We start from the raw sequence: 19,457 nt of genomic DNA, 5'->3' as shown, positions 1-19,457 counted from the left end.
CACACCTGTAATCCCAGCACTTTGGGAGGCCAAGGTGGGTGGATCACGAGGTCAGGAGATCGAGACCATCCTGGCTAACACGGTGAAACCCTGTCTCTACTGAAAAATAAAATACAAAAAATTAGCCGGGCGTGGTGGCAGGCGCCTGTAGTCCCAGCTATGCAGGAGGCTGAGGCAGGATAATGGCGTGAACCCGGGAGGCAGAGCTTGCAGTGAGCAGAGATGCGCCACTGCACTCCAGCCTGGGTGACAGAGCAAGATTCCGTCTCAAAAAAAAAAAAAAAAGCCCTTTCCTGATCATTAGAGGAAAAACCACCAAAGAGAATTATTCTCACCTCTTTCTTAGCATTATTTTAGCAGTGGAGTAATAAGTTAATTTGATTGCCTTTTCACGTGAAGATTCCCAGAGAGGTAGTCTGTTCACAACTGCACGTTATAATGTGCAGGTCACAGACATATCACCTCCAGGCATTTTCTATTCCATTTGGTTCTGCAAACGTTAATGAATAACGTTGTAAGTGATGTTTAGTCATGAAGAATATATAATTGATGATGCATCAAGAGAACTTTAGCAGCCAATGGGAAGCTCAAAGGTGACCTAGCCATGAGTTGCCTTTCAGAGATCTTTGAAGTTAAATTAACTTTCTGTGGGTATTTTCAAATCAGCTGGTGAACAGTGTGTAAAGATTCTCTGTAAGTGAAAACCTCCTTCTGTGGACCAGTGGGTTTCTGTGTTACTGGTTTCCTCAGCTTTCTCATCATCCTTGGAAGTAACAGGCCTCATTGTACTTCCCATCTGATGGCCTAGAACCATGGGAGCCTGAAAGAACAGAAAGAGATGTGGGGAGGGAAGCATTGTCAATACTGACCTACATTTTTCTTTTACTCAGGTGATTATTTTTGCTATTTTAATATAAATCTAGTCTAGGGACTGTGGGCCTATAGTAATCTACATGACTGGTTTACATTAGTAAAAATTTCATTTATATATCCCTAGGGACTAGAGTATAACTTATATTTCAAATATTCATTGTTTGTCATATTTTCATAATAGCAATAGCAAGGTAAATTTCAAGTGACAAGTGTGGTGGTCATTGTGAATCTTCATTTACCAACAGAGTCTTCAAGGGCAGGATATTACTTCTGTGTTTGCTTGGGTGCCAATCCCTAAGAGATTTCTGGAAGTTACCCATTAACTAGCACCTTTGGAAGCAGTGATTCTTAACCTTTATGGAGACTCTCATGAAAGCTATACAACAGCCATACTGTATTATTCTTTGCATACCAATGTTTGATAACCACTGTTACTGACCCTCCGTCAAGTATTTTGCAAATATAAAATTGTGTGTACAATGCCAGGGAGCATAAGGATATGTCCATGGGACTGGTCAATACAAACTGTTCTAGAACCCCTGACAATGTAATTATGTAGGAGACACTGCTCCCTAAAGCACTGCTGGGCTTGGTACCTTGTATAGAAACCTCTATGTTCCTCATCTTTCCACAGCAGACCATGGAGATGTTTTCTAGACATTTCTGAGAAGTGTGCAGATTGTGGGAAATGCACTTGTAATAGGAAGTCAACTTGTTAGCAACAAGGGAAAGTCAATGGATTCAGGAATAAAGTTGAAAGTTATGAGAAATGTAATCATATAAGTATTTTACTTTTTACTGAAAGATGTATATGCAAGGATGAGTTTTCTCTTTGCATGGAGTTATGGCATGGCTGTCAGTATTGAACTGGTTTGTCCAGTCATGGGGATAGTTTGCATTGAGCCAAACTATGCATTTCTATCTCAGGCCTTTAGTTCAGCAGGAAAAAAAAAATGAGCAACCAGGGTTAGAGGGAATTTGTGGGCCTACCACAAGGTGAACCTGAGATCGTATTTGAGGACTGGAATACTGATGATCTTGATCTCTGCTCTGATGAATCAAAGCAGATGCCAGTGTCTTTCCTCTGAAAAATTTGGTGTAAAAATGGAATTTGCAATTGTTTCACAACTAAGTGATTATAATGAACCTATGGTTAAAATCATGCCACGGGAGGGTATTTTACTGTCATTTTATTAGAAGATTGGCCCCGGGAAAGTATTGGTTAGGCTTTCTAACGATATATGTTTGTTCATGGCCAACTAGAGCAGGAAAGTGAAAACAGCATGATGAAAAATGCCCCTCTAATCAGGGCTCCATTTTCTAAACCATATCATTAAGGAATGGCCAGTTCTACGGTCATTCATGCTCCAGGAGAAGGAAGTTATGTCTGCTTTGTCCCTGAGTGGCTAGGATGAATGGCAGCAAGAGTGAATCTTCTTTCTTTCCAAATGGGTTGACTGAGTTAGTTGCCATTGGCTGCAGAATAGGAAAAGCTTGCAAAATCCCCCAAATAGATGATTCCTGGCAGACATGGGGTGTGTCCGGGGTATTTACAGCTGTAAATTCTGGTAAATATTTTTTGCTGTCTGTGTCCAAAGTCTCAGGATTTAGCTTGAGTTCGGTTCAGTCCCACTAAAAGTAAATTCCACCCTGATAAATGGAAACAGATTACTTTCTACACAACGTCTTTCTGTTCAGTTGTAAATGGAGTGCGTTTTGAGGAGGCTTCATTTAATAATACCTTATCAGACAGCTTTCAGGAACCTGCAGTGTCTAATATGTCTGTTGCTATGGTAACAGCTGCTTGCTTATGCTCTGCATCTCATATCTATGTCTTCCATGGGCCCCCTTCTTACTGATGAGGGGGCTTGAGAAATATTCTCCACTAGGAACAATTGCAGTGCTGGCCCTCCACTATGGAGACCACACCCACAGCACTTCATTCTTCTTGGCCTATTGGAAACAGAGCTGCAAAGAGTACCTCTGCACACGTCATATCAAAGAAGGAAATCTATAAAGCTTAAGGGAGATGAGACAAGGGCCCCTCCACAACTGGCTGGGCAGCCCTCCCCCAATGTCAGTTACACATAAGAACTCTCACCTATTTACAAAGAAGCTTGAGATTTCAAATTGGTGAAAGAGATGTAGGAGCTGCTGCTCGGTGCCCTTATTTTCCCATTCTTTCAGGAAAGAAGGGTGGAAGGCATGGGGCCCATGTTTCTGTCCCCTGAATGAGAATAGGAAAGACCACCTACCATGCATTTCAATACTCTTAAATTATTCTAATTGATCACTATCTTTCTAAGTGACAGGACACACCACTGGGATCCTGAAGCACTGATATGGGGAAATTCTCTTTGTTCTTTCATCATTTAACAAAATATGACCTCATAATGGAGATGGGATTGGCTCCTGGGCAGCTTAGGAACACCTTCTGTAGCCCTTTGTCTTGGCTCCCTTTGGTAGTTCTTAATTATTCTGTATTTTTTGTACCTGCACAGTTTCCCTTCCATGCTCCTGGCCCTGTGTTGCCTGCACTTTTCTCGGTATCTCTTTTGAGACCAATAGTTTGTAACCTTGTGATTTTTTTCCGTCAGCGTCTGTGACTCTCTATGCTTCATGTGTGTCTGTGAATCTCTAGGACAGGCTGGTTATCTGGGGCTCTAGGGCAGCCACTGGCCTGGGGGCGGTTGCACCCACCTGGGTACCAGCTCTCTCACTTTGCCTGTATCTTAAGAGGAAGGTAATGAAAATAATCAGCCTTCATTAATTCCAAGCCCTGTGAGATGATAGCCATTTGGAGCCTGTTTGCCAATTAGATGGTCTAAATTAGAAGTGACCTTGGTATACTGCCACTGCTTCCCTCTCTGAGTCTAATGAAGGTTTTCTCTCCAATTCATTCTCCTTCTCAGTTCTCACCTCTCTGCGCACACGTGTATAACTCTTCATGTGTTTCCTGTTCTCCCATCTACCTTTTCAATCTTTCTCATCCTCAGTTTCAAAAATCTGGTTCTGAGCTACATTTGTTTCCAGCCTACATGAATGTTAACACGGCCCTACAGTATTTTCTTTTGAGCTTGATGTATTTAAAAATTGAATGAACTACCATACAGAAGCAGTTTTAGAAAGGAAACAAGGAGGCCAAAGTGGGAAGATGGCTTGAGTCCAGGAGTTCGAGACCAGCCAGGGCAACATGGCAAGACTGTGTCTCTACCAACAAAACAAAACACACAAAAAATTGCTGAGAGTGGTGGTGTGTACCTGTAGTCCTAGCTACTCAGGAGGCTGAGGCAGAAGAATCACTTAAGCCCAGCAGTTTGAGCCTGTAGCGAGCCATGGTTGTGCCACTGCACTCCAGCCCAGGTGACAAAGTGAGACTATCTCAAAAAAAAAAAGAAAGAAAGAAAAGGAAATGGGACAAGGAGAGAAGAAGCTGAGCCTTTTAAAAAGACGCCATGGCCCAGTATTCTCCCTGGCATATGTAGAAGACTGTAAAGTGGGGTGGGGAACCCAACTCTGAAACTCTACTGGCAAGAGGCGCCCTGGTTTGTTGGCTGTAAGTGTGCAGAAACCAGCCAGTGGGCCCCAGTGGCTGTCTAGGTACAGGAAAGGAAGTGAGCAACTGGCCTCTCGCTGGAACAGCTGGCTTTAGATATACCAACTAGCTAGACTGCTCAGCCCTAAAAGCAGCTGGCTTTTAACTTCATGCTTAATGTTTTGGGCAGAACCAGTCTCATCCACAAGGATGTAGAGACTGGCTTGGTCTGTGCCAAGGAGGTCTGTGCCTGAGGTCTCTCCTCTTTTTGTCTGAATTTCTTCATTCTATTGATTTTCAATTAAAAGTAAAGGATTTGAGGCATCCTTGGGAGCCTAGGTATCGGCAAATCTATACTTTCACCTGGAATAGTGGGCTTTTCAGAAAGAAGTCCTAAAGTGAGCAATGCCAAGGCGGTAGGAATAAGGGTCTCAGAGAAACTAGGTTCACCACTTTTGCTAAGAAAATATCTCTGCTGGCCAGGCGTAGTGGCTCACACCTGTAATCCCAGCACTTTGGGAGGCTGATGGGGGCAGATCACTTAAGGTCAGGAGTTCGAGACCAGCCTGGCCAACATGGTGAAACCCCATCTCTATTAAAAGTACAAAAAAAAAATAGCTGGGCGTGGTGGTGCACATCTGTAATCCCAGCTACTCGGGAGGCTGAGGCAGAAGAATCACTTGAACCCGGGAGGCGGAGGTTGCAGTGAGCCGAGATTGTGCCATTGCACTTCAGCCTGGGCAACAGAGCGAAACTCCCTCTGAAAAATAAATAAATAAATAAATAAATAAAATCTCTCTGCTTTCCAGCACACAGAATGTGTCTGGGGCATCGATCTAACCTAGGTGAGCCTGTCTGCAGGTAGCTTCAAGAGATGAATTGGCATGAACGGTCCCATAAGAACTTAGCAAAGGGTGACCTTGGCTGCACAGGGTGTTATATTGGCCCTTCCACATCTGTGACCTGCAGGGATTGGCGTAAGTGGCAGGATGGTGTTCCTTATAACTCCAGATTCTACCAAGAAATTATATATTTCAGCAGCCCCTCCCAAATGTCAGAGTGGGAGACTAGTCCCGTATCTCAGACACGGGCTGTATAAGGTGTGCCCTTGAGGCTTTAGGGTCCACTCACCTCATAGAATCTTGAAAAGCATTAGAACATAATCCAAAATAATAATGAACCAAACTAGGAAGAGCTTGGAACTATGTATTTATGAACCTATATGTTACCTCTCCTAGTAGATCAAGGGCAGTTCACTTGAGTACATGGATTTCCTTCTGGGGAGCTTGTAATTTCCTAAAATTATCTGGAATATTCTTTCTGTGAAAGTATTTTCCTAGGAGTCTGCAACTTGTATTAGATTTCTAAGGCTTTTGTGACCTCTAAAGGGTTATTTATTCTGCATCATAAGCCTTTTGGAGACAGGAACTTTTGTCTGGCTCTCTGCATCTCAGAAGCATGCAGCACATGGATCCTGTACAGTGTTTATTTAGTAAATGGTGGTCAATTGAATGAACTGAGAGTTTCTCAAGGCTACTCCTTTTCAACTGTGTTATTTTGGAAGTGCTTAAGCTTGAACATTTTTAGCATCAATGTGGAACGCTTCTGTTTCTATTATATATGAAAATTACTTAAACTGGGAGGTTTTGAGCACTGGAGTAGAACTCTACATTTCTTTTGTTATGCATGAAAACCTGTTTGTTAGGAATATATCAGAGCCACTGTTGGCTTCCAAATTTTCTGCACCCCAGTCAGCTGATGGTTTCTTCCCAAGTTTCCATGAAATGTACATGTACTCTGGGAGGAAGGTAGTTGAACTGGCTCAGAAGGTTTGGGAGGAAAACGTGGTGTCTAGAAGATCACCATGGAACTGCCTTTTGCATGGCAGAGGCCAACCTTGAGAGACCCAAAATGCTGTAATGGCTGTAATCAGTTGAATTTTCTTAACCAGAAAAACTTTTGTCTTCTCATTACTTCTCAGGTTCATTAGTGAATAGAGTGGGGGATATAATTTAATGTATTAAATGTTTATTGATGTATGGATTATCGGAATAATCAATGTGGATGGTACATTCAATGTAGAAAGTGTAGGTGTTTGGGCTGATTTGTACTGTCACCTGGCCAAACCTTAGAACTTTTTTCGTTTGGCTCTTGAGTCCATGGCTGGAAGTATGGACATTGTAGGATTGCGGCCAGAGAGGGGAAGAAGGAACAGAGAGAAAGCATGTATATTGTTCTGCAGGAAAATTGGTGGTAGGACCAGTTATTTGAGGGCCTCTGAAATTTGGCACACTTGGCATGACCCTGGTTATGCTACAACCAGGTTTTGTCTTCTCATAAACCTACATGTTTCAGTGTTCCTGGCAAAAGGGAAGGTCTTTACCTGTGCTCAGCACAGCTGGGATGGATTGATTGATTGATTGATTGGAGACAGAGTCTCACTCTGTCGCCCAGGCTGGAGTGCAATGGCGCAATCTCAGCTCACTGCAACCTCTGCCTCCCGGGTTCAAGCAATTCTCCTGTCTCAGCCTCCCGAGTAACTGGGACTACAGGCATGAGCCACCACGCCTGGCTAATTTTTGTATTTATAGTAGAGATGGGGTTTCACCATGTTGGCCAGGCTGGTCTTGAACTCCTGACCTCAAATGATCCACCCGCCTCAGCCTCCCAAAGTGCTGGGATTACAGGCTTGAGCCACCGCACCCGGCCGACAGCTGGGTTATTACTTTCCCATTTTCAGCTATCCATTAGAGACTATGGCTGGGACAGTCTGAATTCCATGCAGTTTAGTAGCCAGATATGATTGTAAAACAAAGGGGGTGCCAAGGCAAGTGTTGAAGGAAGTCTGCCTTTGGATATATATATCACCTCAGTGAGCAGAAGGACTCCTCAATGGGCTCTGTTGGCAGGATTGTTTATGGCTCTTCAAGATAAAGCATGAAAGCTTTGAGTAAAAAGCTTTGGAAGCTGGTAGGAGAGGGAAGAATGGGCAAAGGGAACGTTAGTGTCTGAGAACTGACATGGGGCCCTCCAGTAGCCTGTGTAGCAAGGCAGCTTCCATTCTCAACCTCTGTTGAGACACATGCACAGACAGACGCCACCTGAATTTCCAGATCCTTAGGATTCTCTTTAGGAATCTTCCTCTTTGCCTCCTGGGAATTTCTTGCCCATCAAAATTTCATATACCAACCCCCCCTTTTTTTCAGGGAGAGGTTGGGTACACTATAGATGAGAAAAATGCAGGTGGATAAAAGTAGTTACTTAAACACATATGGGGCAAGACTTACAGGTTTGGAGGCCCAGATTAAGATGCAGAGGAGCATGTGAGGTTGATGATTATATTTCGGGGAGAGTTAATTGATGGAAGGTGAAGGCAGACAAAGAACCGCTGCTTACTGCCTTCTTGAATCCCAATCAGGAATTATGATTAAAGTCGCAGCGAGACAACAGAGGGCTGATGAATTGGTGTCTTTTTTTTTTCTTTTTTGCCGTCATTCACACTTGATTGACTTCAACCTTTCAAGTGCAAAAGTCTCTCTTTTCCATTATTATTCATAGCCATCTGAGTTTTTCTAATTAAAGTGTATGAAAACAATTACTGATCCGTCGTACTGAGTCTGTTAGAGGGGATGTCTGCCTTACTGTAATGTGTATGAAAAGCCCACAGTTTTCTATAATGATGTGCAGCTGAGGTGTTAGATAATTTTATTCTTTTTTACTCTGTAGGGCTTTTTTTTTATTTCTCATGATTCATTTTTCATAATTCCTAAAGATCCCAGGAAAGGACTGATCTTGCAGCTACAACCGAGAAAGGAGGTGGGGGGGAGTCTTTTTTCCTTTCCCTTTCTCCCCCTCTTACCCCCAACCTCGTGCTCCCCCTCAGCTGAGGACTACAAATTAATCGGTGACCTTTCACTTCTCGGATTCCCGCTGGACTCCCCAACCACACTAGTCAGAAATGCCTTCTATTAAAAAGAAAATAGATGGAATGAGTTTGGCAATCTCCACTCCATTCTTAACGATTCATCAACAGCTAGCCTTAACCAGCTGCCGATGAGCTTTGTGTGAGGTGCAGATGTCTGTGGGGGCAAGAATGCTATGTCACACACATTCACCTGCCACACACCTGCTCTTCGTAAACACAGCATTTCTCAGAATGCTTCTCCATGGTACCTGTTGCTTACTTTTTGCACCCGCTGGCATCTGGGTTGCTGAAATTATTCTAATACCCCTAAGTGTGATGAGGAGTTATCCTATGTTGATGGGGGTGGCTGTCTGGGTTTCCTCTAGTTGTCAAGCTTATTGCTGATGATTCTAGTGGACATCTCAGTAGCTATTTTGAGCAAGGCTGGGATCGTCACACCATTAAAAATTAATAGTAATGTATTTAAAATATTATTTAATTTTGAACAGAAATCTACGTATTCCAATCTTTGCAACAGACAGTGAAGATGTCTGTGCAGTACGGTTGTGTTTGATGGAAAAATAATGTCTCCAAGTGGGGCTGGGTGCCACGTAGAAAGGTTAGTGGTGACTGTAGTTTCTGGTCCTGTAACTTCTAGGTCAGTCCATTTCTCCAGCTATCATCAAATGGGAGGTGGTTTCTAATTCATTTGAAATATCATCGCCACCTACCCTTCCCACCCCATATCAGGCAAAAGGATATTGCTTCTTTTTGAATGAAGAACCTTTGATCTTTCCATTGGATATCGAGGGCTGCTTATCACATTAACATAAGGCAAATGATAACTTGTTTGGACAGGCTTCTGGCCGTACGGCAGGGAGGCCTAGAGAAATATCTGAGGCTCTGCCCAAAAGTTGCAGCTGTTTGGATCCAGGCGATTTCCAGAACTGCTGTATTGAGAAAAAATGGCCATGGTCAAGGTGGGGCTGCCCTGTTGTAGAATGCTGTGCAGGCCACCCTCTATCGCTGGGACGTTGGTCAGAAGTTCCCTCTGATGTTGTATACCTTGGGCAGAGACTCCAGAAGAAATCGTGGCTTAAGTGAGTCACAAAAAAAGGCTTGTTTGTGCTTGATGTCAGCTTGTAAAGGGTTACAAATGTTGTTTTCCTGGAAAATCTGCCAGCATGTCTGCGTGTCCCTAGCCTTCCCTTTGTTCTCTTCTTTTCTTCTTACCCTTTCCTTCACTCTTACTCCCCTCCTCCTCTTGCCTGAATACGTTCTGAAAACAGTACTACAATGCTCCCTGCTTCAAGATTACAGTGTACTTTACTAGGTATGATTTAATTAGGGCCCTTATTATGTTTTCAGCAGCTTAAGGTGGGCCTTTCAACTTATCTACCTAATTGGTTGCACAAGAAGTTTCACAGCCCATGACAAAACATTGTCAGTGATCAAAGTCAAAATTCTGCATAAAGGAAAAATATTAATAAGAAGATTATTCTTCAAGTGTGCACTGCTAATTATGTCCAGAATGTAACCGTAGAAACACTTTTGACTGATGTGAGCTTTGTCTAATAAACATGAATCTTCAGTGAGCTATGAAAAGTGAGACACCTCTAGCTTTACACTGGTGAAGGCTAATTTTGCTTATTAAATAATTTTTAAACATTTCCTATTTTGTGTCGCTTTCCTCTCCATTTGACTCTCCTTGCTCTTGCTCCTCAGGTGACCACCCCTGAGATGGTGATGCCAAGCAGCATGTTCCTCCCAGCAGCTGTTCCAGATCGAGATGGGAATTCCAATTTGGAAGAGGCAGGAAAGCAGCCTGGTCAGTATCATTATTCTTGACCCCAAGAAATTGAAACAAGATGGAATGCCAAAATGTTCATGGAGAAAGGTTTTCAGGAATTCTTTACAATACTCTTAAGGTGAATGTAACTGATCAGGAGATGAGGGGCACTGTCATCAGCTACTTTATACTCTGCTTCTTGGCATGTATTTGTATATTACTCACATGGTTTAAAGTGAGAGAAAATTAGTATGAGAACCAGTGGAATTCTGGCACAGACACACACATCTTCTTAAACTATACAATTAGGGAGTGAATAACCAGAGACTCAGTCAGTAGGCCCTACCATTCTAAGCCATTAAACACTGTATTTCTGAGGACTTAATTAGTAGGGACTTGTGGGTTGATTTTTAGGTACACTGGATTAGTTGTCTTTCGTTCTGAGTTTTTTGGGATTGGCTTAGGATGAAGCACAGAGATGCTGATGGAAAGAACATTGTTGTAGACAGTAGTTGGTGCCACATAGTGTTTCCTGGCTAGATGAATGGTTAGACCTCTGTGAGGCTGTCCTACATCGTTCACCTCTAAGGTGGGAAGAGTTCTAAGTTGGGAAGAGTTTGGCCACACTACTGTCCTGCCTTCTCTCTTTCTTGTGAGTTTTCCATATTAGACAATGGACAAATGACCTGTTAAAGGGTCTCGGTATTTATGAGTGTGATGATCTCATTGTAGGGAAAAAAATGTATTTTAAATAATTGAACACTTGAATGTTAATTGCTTATTGAATAGAGATGGCAATCAGAAGTCACATTATAACAAGAAATTAAATGCCTAAAAATATGTATCCCCAAATTTCTTATATTACGATGTTCAGCAGTTCTTGTAAATTCCTCACAACTTAGGACAGCATTAATTCACATATTCTACACTTCAGATCTACTGTGCTAAATGCTTATTACATAAAAGATGAACATAAAAGGGAAATCCAGTCTAAGATCAGTAACCTTCAAACCAGCTCTTGAGAAATTGAGGATTCTGAGTCAAGCAATTAAATGCTATTTAAAAGACTGTTAGATCTGTGATATGACATGGGTCTATTATGCATTGAAACTTTTTGTATTTCCTTTTATCCATCTCTGTTCATGTGCACCCTGTTTATAATATGTGCTCTATTGGAGGAACAAAAGAAAGCAGGAGGCGCTCCGCAGAGATTCTGTCATTCAGGTTGGGCACTTCCCTCATCATCAGATTCTGTGTTCATGAGGCCTGACTAGGTAGACCGCTCTGGGTGCCATCCTTGAAACAAAGCCTTCTTTATCTTTGGGTTTGATTTTTTTTTTTTTTTTAACAGAAACCTCAGAGGATCTGGGAAAGAACATCTTGCCATCCGCAAGCACAGAGCAAAGCGGAGATTTGAAACCATCCCCTGCTGACCCAGGCTCTGTGAGAGAAGACTCAGGCTTCATCTGCTGGAAGAAGGGGTGCAACCAGGTTTTCAAAACTTCTGCTGCCCTTCAGACGCATTTTAATGAAGTGCATGCCAAGAGGCCTCAGCTGCCGGTGTCAGATCGCCATGTGTACAAGTACCGCTGTAATCAGTGTAGCCTGGCCTTCAAGACCATTGAAAAGTTGCAGCTCCATTCTCAGTACCATGTGATCAGAGCTGCCACCATGTGCTGTCTTTGTCAGCGCAGTTTCCGAACTTTCCAGGCTCTGAAGAAGCACCTTGAGACAAGCCACCTGGAGCTGAGTGAGGCTGACATCCAACAGCTTTATGGTGGCCTGCTGGCCAATGGGGACCTCCTGGCAATGGGAGACCCCACTCTGGCAGAGGACCATACCATAATTGTTGAGGAAGACAAGGAGGAAGAGAGTGACTTGGAAGATAAACAGAGCCCAACGGGCAGTGACTCTGGGTCAGTACAAGAAGACTCGGGCTCAGAGCCAAAGAGAGCTCTGCCTTTCAGAAAAGGTCCCAATTTTACTATGGAAAAGTTCCTAGACCCTTCTCGCCCTTACAAGTGTACCGTCTGCAAGGAATCTTTCACTCAAAAGAATATCCTGCTAGTACACTACAATTCTGTCTCCCACCTGCATAAGTTAAAGAGAGCCCTTCAAGAATCAGCAACCGGTCAGCCAGAACCCACCAGCAGCCCAGACAACAAACCTTTTAAGTGTAACACTTGTAATGTGGCCTACAGCCAGAGTTCCACTCTGGAGATCCATATGAGGTCTGTGTTACATCAAACCAAGGCCCGGGCAGCCAAGCTGGAGGCTGCAAGTGGCAGCAGCAATGGGACTGGGAACAGCAGCAGTATTTCCTTGAGCTCCTCCACGCCAAGTCCTGTGAGCACCAGTGGCAGTAACACCTTTACCACCTCCAATCCAAGCAGTGCTGGCATTGCTCCAAGCTCTAACTTACTAAGCCAAGTGCCCACTGAGAGTGTAGGGATGCCACCCCTGGGGAATCCTATTGGTGCCAACATTGCTTCCCCTTCAGAGCCCAAAGAGGCCAATCGGAAGAAACTGGCAGATATGATTGCATCCAGGCAGCAGCAACAACAGCAGCAGCAACAGCAACAACAACAACAACAACAACAACAACAAGCACAAACGCTGGCCCAGGCCCAGGCTCAAGTTCAAGCTCACCTGCAGCAGGAGCTGCAGCAACAGGCTGCCCTGATCCAGTCTCAGCTGTTTAACCCCACCCTCCTTCCTCACTTCCCCATGACAACTGAGACCCTGCTGCAACTACAGCAGCAGCAGCACCTCCTCTTCCCTTTCTACATCCCCAGTGCTGAGTTCCAGCTTAACCCCGAGGTGAGCTTGCCAGTGACCAGTGGGGCACTGACACTGACTGGGACAGGCCCAGGCCTGCTGGAAGATCTGAAGGCTCAGGTTCAGGTCCCACAGCAGAGCCATCAGCAGATCTTGCCGCAGCAGCAGCAGAACCAACTCTCTATAGCCCAGAGTCACTCTGCCCTCCTTCAGCCAAGCCAGCACCCCGAAAAGAAGAACAAATTGGTCATCAAAGAAAAGGAAAAAGAAAGCCAGAGAGAGAGGGACAGCGCCGAGGGGGGAGAGGGCAACACCGGTCCGAAGGAAACACTGCCAGATGCCTTGAAGGCCAAAGAGAAGAAAGAGTTGGCACCAGGGGGTGGTTCTGAGCCTTCCATGCTCCCTCCACGCATTGCTTCAGATGCCAGAGGGAACGCCACCAAGGCCCTGCTGGAGAACTTTGGCTTTGAGTTGGTCATCCAGTATAATGAGAACAAGCAGAAGGTGCAGAAAAAGAATGGGAAGACTGACCAGGGAGAGAACCTGGAAAAGCTCGAGTGTGACTCCTGCGGCAAGTTGTTTTCCAACATCTTGATTTTAAAGAGTCATCAAGAGCACGTTCATCAGAATTACTTTCCTTTCAAACAGCTCGAGAGGTTTGCCAAACAGTACAGAGACCACTACGATAAACTGTACCCACTGAGGCCCCAGACCCCAGAGCCACCACCACCTCCCCCTCCACCCCCTCCACCCCCACTTCCGGCAGCGCCGCCTCAGCCGGCGTCCACACCAGCCATCCCCGCATCAGCCCCACCCATCACCTCACCTACAATTGCACCGGCCCAGCCATCAGTGCCGCTCACCCAGCTCTCCATGCCGATGGAGCTGCCCATCTTCTCGCCGCTGATGATGCAGACGATGCCGCTGCAGACCTTGCCGGCTCAGCTACCCCCGCAGCTGGGACCTGTGGAGCCTCTGCCTGCGGACCTGGCCCAACTCTACCAGCATCAGCTCAATCCAACCCTGCTCCAGCAGCAGAACAAGAGGCCTCGCACCAGGATCACAGATGATCAGCTCCGAGTCTTGCGGCAATATTTTGACATTAACAACTCCCCCAGTGAAGAGCAAATAAAAGAGATGGCAGACAAGTCCGGGTTGCCCCAGAAAGTGATCAAGCACTGGTTCAGGAACACTCTCTTCAAAGAGAGGCAGCGTAACAAGGACTCCCCTTACAACTTCAGTAATCCTCCTATCACCAGCCTGGAGGAGCTCAAGATTGACTCCCGGCCCCCTTCGCCGGAACCTCCAAAGCAGGAGTACTGGGGAAGCAAGAGGTCTTCAAGAACAAGGTTTACGGACTACCAGCTGAGGGTCTTACAGGACTTCTTCGATGCCAATGCTTACCCAAAGGATGATGAATTTGAGCAACTCTCTAATTTACTGAACCTTCCAACCCGAGTGATAGTGGTGTGGTTTCAGAATGCCCGACAGAAGGCCAGGAAGAATTATGAGAATCAGGGAGAGGGCAAAGATGGAGAGCGGCGTGAGCTTACAAATGATAGATACATTCGAACAAGCAACTTGAACTACCAGTGCAAAAAATGTAGCCTGGTGTTTCAGCGCATCTTTGATCTCATCAAGCACCAGAAGAAGCTGTGTTACAAGGATGAGGATGAGGAGGGGCAGGACGACAGCCAAAATGAGGATTCCATGGATGCCATGGAAATCCTGACGCCTACCAGCTCATCCTGCAGTACCCCGATGCCCTCACAGGCTTACAGCGCCCCAGCACCATCAGCCAATAATACAGCTTCCTCCGCTTTCTTGCAGCTTACAGCGGAGGCTGAGGAACTGGCCACCTTCAATTCAAAAACAGAGGCAGGCGATGAGAAACCAAAGCTGGCGGAAGCTCCCAGTGCACAGCCAAACCAAACCCAAGAAAAGCAAGGACAACCAAAGCCAGAGCTGCAGCAGCAAGAGCAGCCCGAGCAGAAGACCAACACTCCCCAGCAGAAGCTCCCCCAGCTGGTGTCCCTGCCTTCGTTGCCACAGCCTCCTCCACAAGCGCCCCCTCCACAGTGCCCCTTACCCCAGTCGAGCCCCAGTCCTTCCCAGCTCTCCCACCTGCCCCTCAAGCCCCTCCACACATCAACTCCTCAACAGCTCGCAAACCTACCTCCTCAGCTAATCCCCTACCAGTGTGACCAGTGTAAGTTGGCATTTCCGTCATTTGAGCACTGGCAGGAGCATCAGCAGCTCCACTTCCTGAGCGCGCAGAACCAGTTCATCCACCCCCAGTTTTTGGACAGGTCCCTGGATATGCCTTTCATGCTCTTTGATCCCAGTAACCCACTCCTGGCCAGCCAGCTGCTCTCTGGGGCCATACCTCAGATTCCAGCAAGCTCAGCCACTTCTCCTTCAACTCCAACCTCCACAATGAACACTCTCAAGAGGAAGCTGGAGGAAAAGGCCAGTGCAAGCCCTGGCGAAAACGACAGTGGGACAGGAGGAGAAGAGCCTCAGAGAGACAAGCGTTTGAGAACAACCATCACACCGGAACAACTAGAAATTCTCTACCAGAAGTATCTACTGGATTCCAATCCGACTCGAAAGATGTTGGATCACATTGCACACGAGGTGGGCTTGAAGAAACGTGTGGTACAAGTCTGGTTTCAGAACACCCGAGCTCGGGAAAGGAAAGGACAGTTCCGGGCTGTAGGCCCAGCGCAGGCCCACAGGAGATGCCCTTTTTGCAGAGCGCTCTTCAAAGCCAAGACTGCTCTTGAGGCTCATATCCGGTCCCGTCACTGGCATGAAGCCAAGAGAGCTGGCTACAACCTAACTCTGTCTGCGATGCTCTTAGACTGTGATGGGGGACTCCAGATGAAAGGAGATATTTTTGACGGAACTAGCTTTTCCCACCTACCCCCAAGCAGTAGTGATGGTCAGGGTGTCCCCCTCTCACCTGTGAGTAAAACCATGGAATTGTCACCCAGAACTCTTCTAAGCCCTTCCTCCATTAAGGTGGAAGGGATTGAAGACTTTGAAAGCCCCTCCATGTCCTCAGTTAATCTAAACTTTGACCAAACTAAGCTGGACAACGATGACTGTTCCTCTGTCAACACAGCAATCACAGATACCACAACTGGAGACGAGGGCAACGCAGATAACGACAGTGCAACGGGAATAGCAACTGAAACCAAATCCTCTTCTGCACCCAACGAAGGGTTGACCAAAGCGGCCATGATGGCAATGTCTGAGTATGAAGATCGGTTGTCATCTGGTCTGGTCAGCCCGGCCCCGAGCTTTTATAGCAAGGAATATGACAATGAAGGTACAGTGGACTACAGTGAAACCTCAAGCCTTGCAGATCCCTGCTCCCCGAGTCCTGGTGCGAGTGGATCTGCAGGCAAATCTGGTGACAGCGGAGATCGGCCTGGGCAGAAACGTTTTCGCACTCAAATGACCAATCTGCAGCTGAAGGTCCTCAAGTCATGCTTTAATGACTACAGGACACCCACTATGCTAGAATGTGAGGTCCTGGGCAATGACATTGGACTGCCAAAGAGAGTCGTTCAGGTCTGGTTCCAGAATGCCCGGGCAAAAGAAAAGAAGTCCAAGTTAAGCATGGCCAAGCATTTTGGTATAAACCAAACGAGTTATGAGGGACCCAAAACAGAGTGCACTTTGTGTGGCATCAAGTACAGCGCTCGGCTGTCTGTACGTGACCATATCTTTTCCCAACAGCATATCTCCAAAGTTAAAGACACCATTGGAAGCCAGCTGGACAAGGAGAAAGAATACTTTGACCCAGCCACCGTACGTCAGTTGATGGCTCAACAAGAGTTGGACCGGATTAAAAAGGCCAACGAGGTCCTTGGACTGGCAGCTCAGCAGCAAGGGATGTTTGACAACACCCCTCTTCAGGCCCTTAACCTTCCTACAGCATATCCAGCGCTCCAGGGCATTCCTCCTGTGTTGCTCCCGGGCCTCAACAGCCCCTCCTTGCCAGGCTTTACTCCATCCAACACAGGTGGGTTCTGCTCTAGGCGATTGTTTCAGGGCTAAATAGCTGCCCAGTCAGCATTCTGTTATGTGGATACCACCCAAACCCTCTGAGTGCTGGGCAGATGGGAAGCTTACCTTTCTAGTTCTTTAAAAGCAACAAGACTTCAGTTCGTTCCTGTTGAGTCTCCCAAGTACTGGTGTGTCAGGGATGGGACCTCCTGGTCGGAACAGTCTCCTTTGAAACCACTCTTATCCCCTATAATAGGGAAAAACTTGAGGGTCCTGGCATACTAATTTCTGGAATATTTCAAGAAACAAGTTTTTATCATAGACCCTTTCATTCAGTCCTTGTGGAAATGCTGATCCTGTCTAGATATTTGTTGTAAATATAAGACACCTGAGTTAGTCCTAGCTAATTCTGGATTATGCCCTAAGAAAACTGGTCCAAGAGCATTTAAATCAACTCTTTGCCCTCACCTGGGGTCCCTGCCTTCTTGAGAGAGCTACGGTGGCAAAAGAACTGCTATCAGGGCCGGGTGCAGTGGTTCATGCCTGTAATCCCAGCACTTTGGGAGGCCGAGGCGGGCAGATCACAAGGTCAGGAAATCGAGACCAGCCTGGCCAACATGGTGAAACCCCATCTCTACTAAAAATACAAAAATTACCCAAGTGTGGTGGTATGCACCTATAGTCCCAGCTATTCGGGAGGCTGAGGCAGGAGAATCGCTTGAACCCTGGAGGCAGACAGTGGTTTGAGATTGTGCCACTGCACTCCAGCCTGGGTGACACAGCGAGACTGTCTCAAAAAAAGAAAAAAAAAAGAACTACCAGAAGGTCTTATGTGGTAGATCCTTAATGTTGGGGTTCTCTTCTAGCCAGAACAATAGTGGCTGTTTTTAACAAGATGGCCGTTCTACTTGAGTGCACTGACCAGGAATCTTGTATTGGGCAATGTGGTTCTGTTAAAATACTGATGCACATTTCAGAGGTCCTCAGTCACCTCTTTTTTTTCCTTTTGCCCATTTCCTTTTCCTTGCTCCTGATCACTGAGAATCATACATATTTGTTGCTCTTATAGTCTCACTTAATAGGGAGTTTTGCAGTTCTTCCTACATACTTCTCTTGTTTCTCCTTCTCTGTCCTCACATCTTCTCTGGATCCAGCCATCTTTGCTAAATTGGACCTTCACCTCCAGGGTCCTGTTAGGCTTAGACATAAGTCTGCAAATTCCCCCCACAATGGCCTGAATTGATTAGTTCCAGTTCACCAAAGGAGAACCCCTCCTAATGCTACCTTGCCTTCAAAATGTGTCCCTGTTCCCAGGGGTTAAAGCAGCTGTGCTGCTTCCCACAGCAATCTTAGTTTCTGGTTGAATTAGTTCCACATTTTACACTTTGAGTGGTGTTTTACCAAACATAAGGCCACTGCATTCCTGGTCCCCATTTCTTATTCAAAGAGAATAAGAAAAGAAAGCATTAAGACATAGAAGTTGTTGCTTATATGTGTTGACAAGTCATGTCACAGAAAGCCAGCTAGACATAAGCCAGGAAAACAAACTATGGAAAATAGAGAAGCATTTAATTACCCCTGCAGCCCAGGACCCTGGCAGAGGGGCTTGGGAAGGCTTAACACATCATAGTAATGTGAAAAAAAAGTAGAATCAGAATGTATGATTTATTCCGCTTGTTTTACAGATGAGAAATCTGAGGGCCAGAGAGGTCAAGACCATTCAACAAGCTAGGGTAGGAGCCAGAGCTTCCACCCAGGCCTCTGGGCTCCCAGGTGCTATGTGCTCCTTCCACAACACCCAATATGAGCCAGTCAGTCAACAGGTATATGTTTAGTGCTACTCAAGTTCTGACCACTTAGAGTGGACTCGAGATAGAAAGATAAGCTCTTATTTATTCAGGGCAGCAGACATGCCCCAGTTATCATCACCTGACCGTAACACAGTTCTCAAAAACACCGGATCTGGAATGGGAGGGAAGGAACAAACTTGTGTTTATTAAACATCTATTATATGTCAGGCCCAATGCTAAGCTTTTTCTATCAATGTGGTCTTTCATTTAATCCTCATAACCATCTGTTATGGAAAGCTGAGGTTCCAAGAGTTCAACCGAAAGTCCCAGGGTCACACGTCTGATGTGTGTGACCATAATCCCACAGGGTCAGTGTGACTCCAGATTTGTAGGAGTAAGTCTAGGGGGGATGAAGTACCTTGCCTGATTCTGATCTTACAGATCAGAAAAAGGATGTCACAGAGTTGTGAGTGTGTTGAGCTACTGTGTCTAGCATGGCTAGTGCAAGGCTTGGTAAATAGTAGAGATTCGTAAACGTTTCTTAAAATTTGAACCTCTTATATAGACCATCAGTTGAAGACACACAGTTTAAGGCTTTTTGACCTGAATCTTTCTCCTAGAAGTCTGGAGCCATGGGGATGGGGAAATCTCTAAATATTCCTTCCTTGCCCCACTGAGAGCAGACCCATTGCCTAGTGGAGACAGAGCCATGTCCCAAGTTTAGAACTCATAATCTACTCTGTCTTGTTTGTGCCAATTTAACCAACAAGT

The 19,457-nt window shown here is 45.6% G+C and overlaps 1 protein-coding gene and 1 long non-coding RNA gene across 13 annotated transcripts in view; one reads left to right on the top strand and one right to left on the bottom strand.

The window, feature by feature from the left end:
* ZFHX3-AS1 (ZFHX3 antisense RNA 1) overlaps positions 1–19,457 on the bottom strand; it is a 156,522-nt gene that overhangs the window by 11,488 nt on the left and 125,577 nt on the right. The gene's annotated exons all lie outside the window — the stretch shown is intronic.
* The window catches only part of ZFHX3 (zinc finger homeobox 3), a 1,109,046-nt gene that overhangs the window by 1,081,764 nt on the left and 7,825 nt on the right, over positions 1–19,457 (top strand). For all 10 annotated transcript variants that reach the window (NM_001386735.1, XM_047434166.1, NM_001164766.2 and 7 more), the window contains 2 exons: positions 10,038–10,140; positions 11,453–16,912. In NM_001386735.1, the coding sequence (NP_001373664.1) occupies positions 10,038–10,140; positions 11,453–16,912 (5,563 nt within the window). The remainder of the gene's footprint in view (positions 1–10,037; positions 10,141–11,452; positions 16,913–19,457) is intronic.

The sequence above is a fragment of the Homo sapiens genome, chromosome 16 (assembly GCF_000001405.40).
Source record: "Homo sapiens chromosome 16, GRCh38.p14 Primary Assembly".
Classification (NCBI taxonomy): Eukaryota; Metazoa; Chordata; class Mammalia; order Primates; family Hominidae; genus Homo; species Homo sapiens.
Note: the sequence above shows the minus strand (reverse complement) of the source record. Positions and strands in the feature narration are given on the sequence as shown.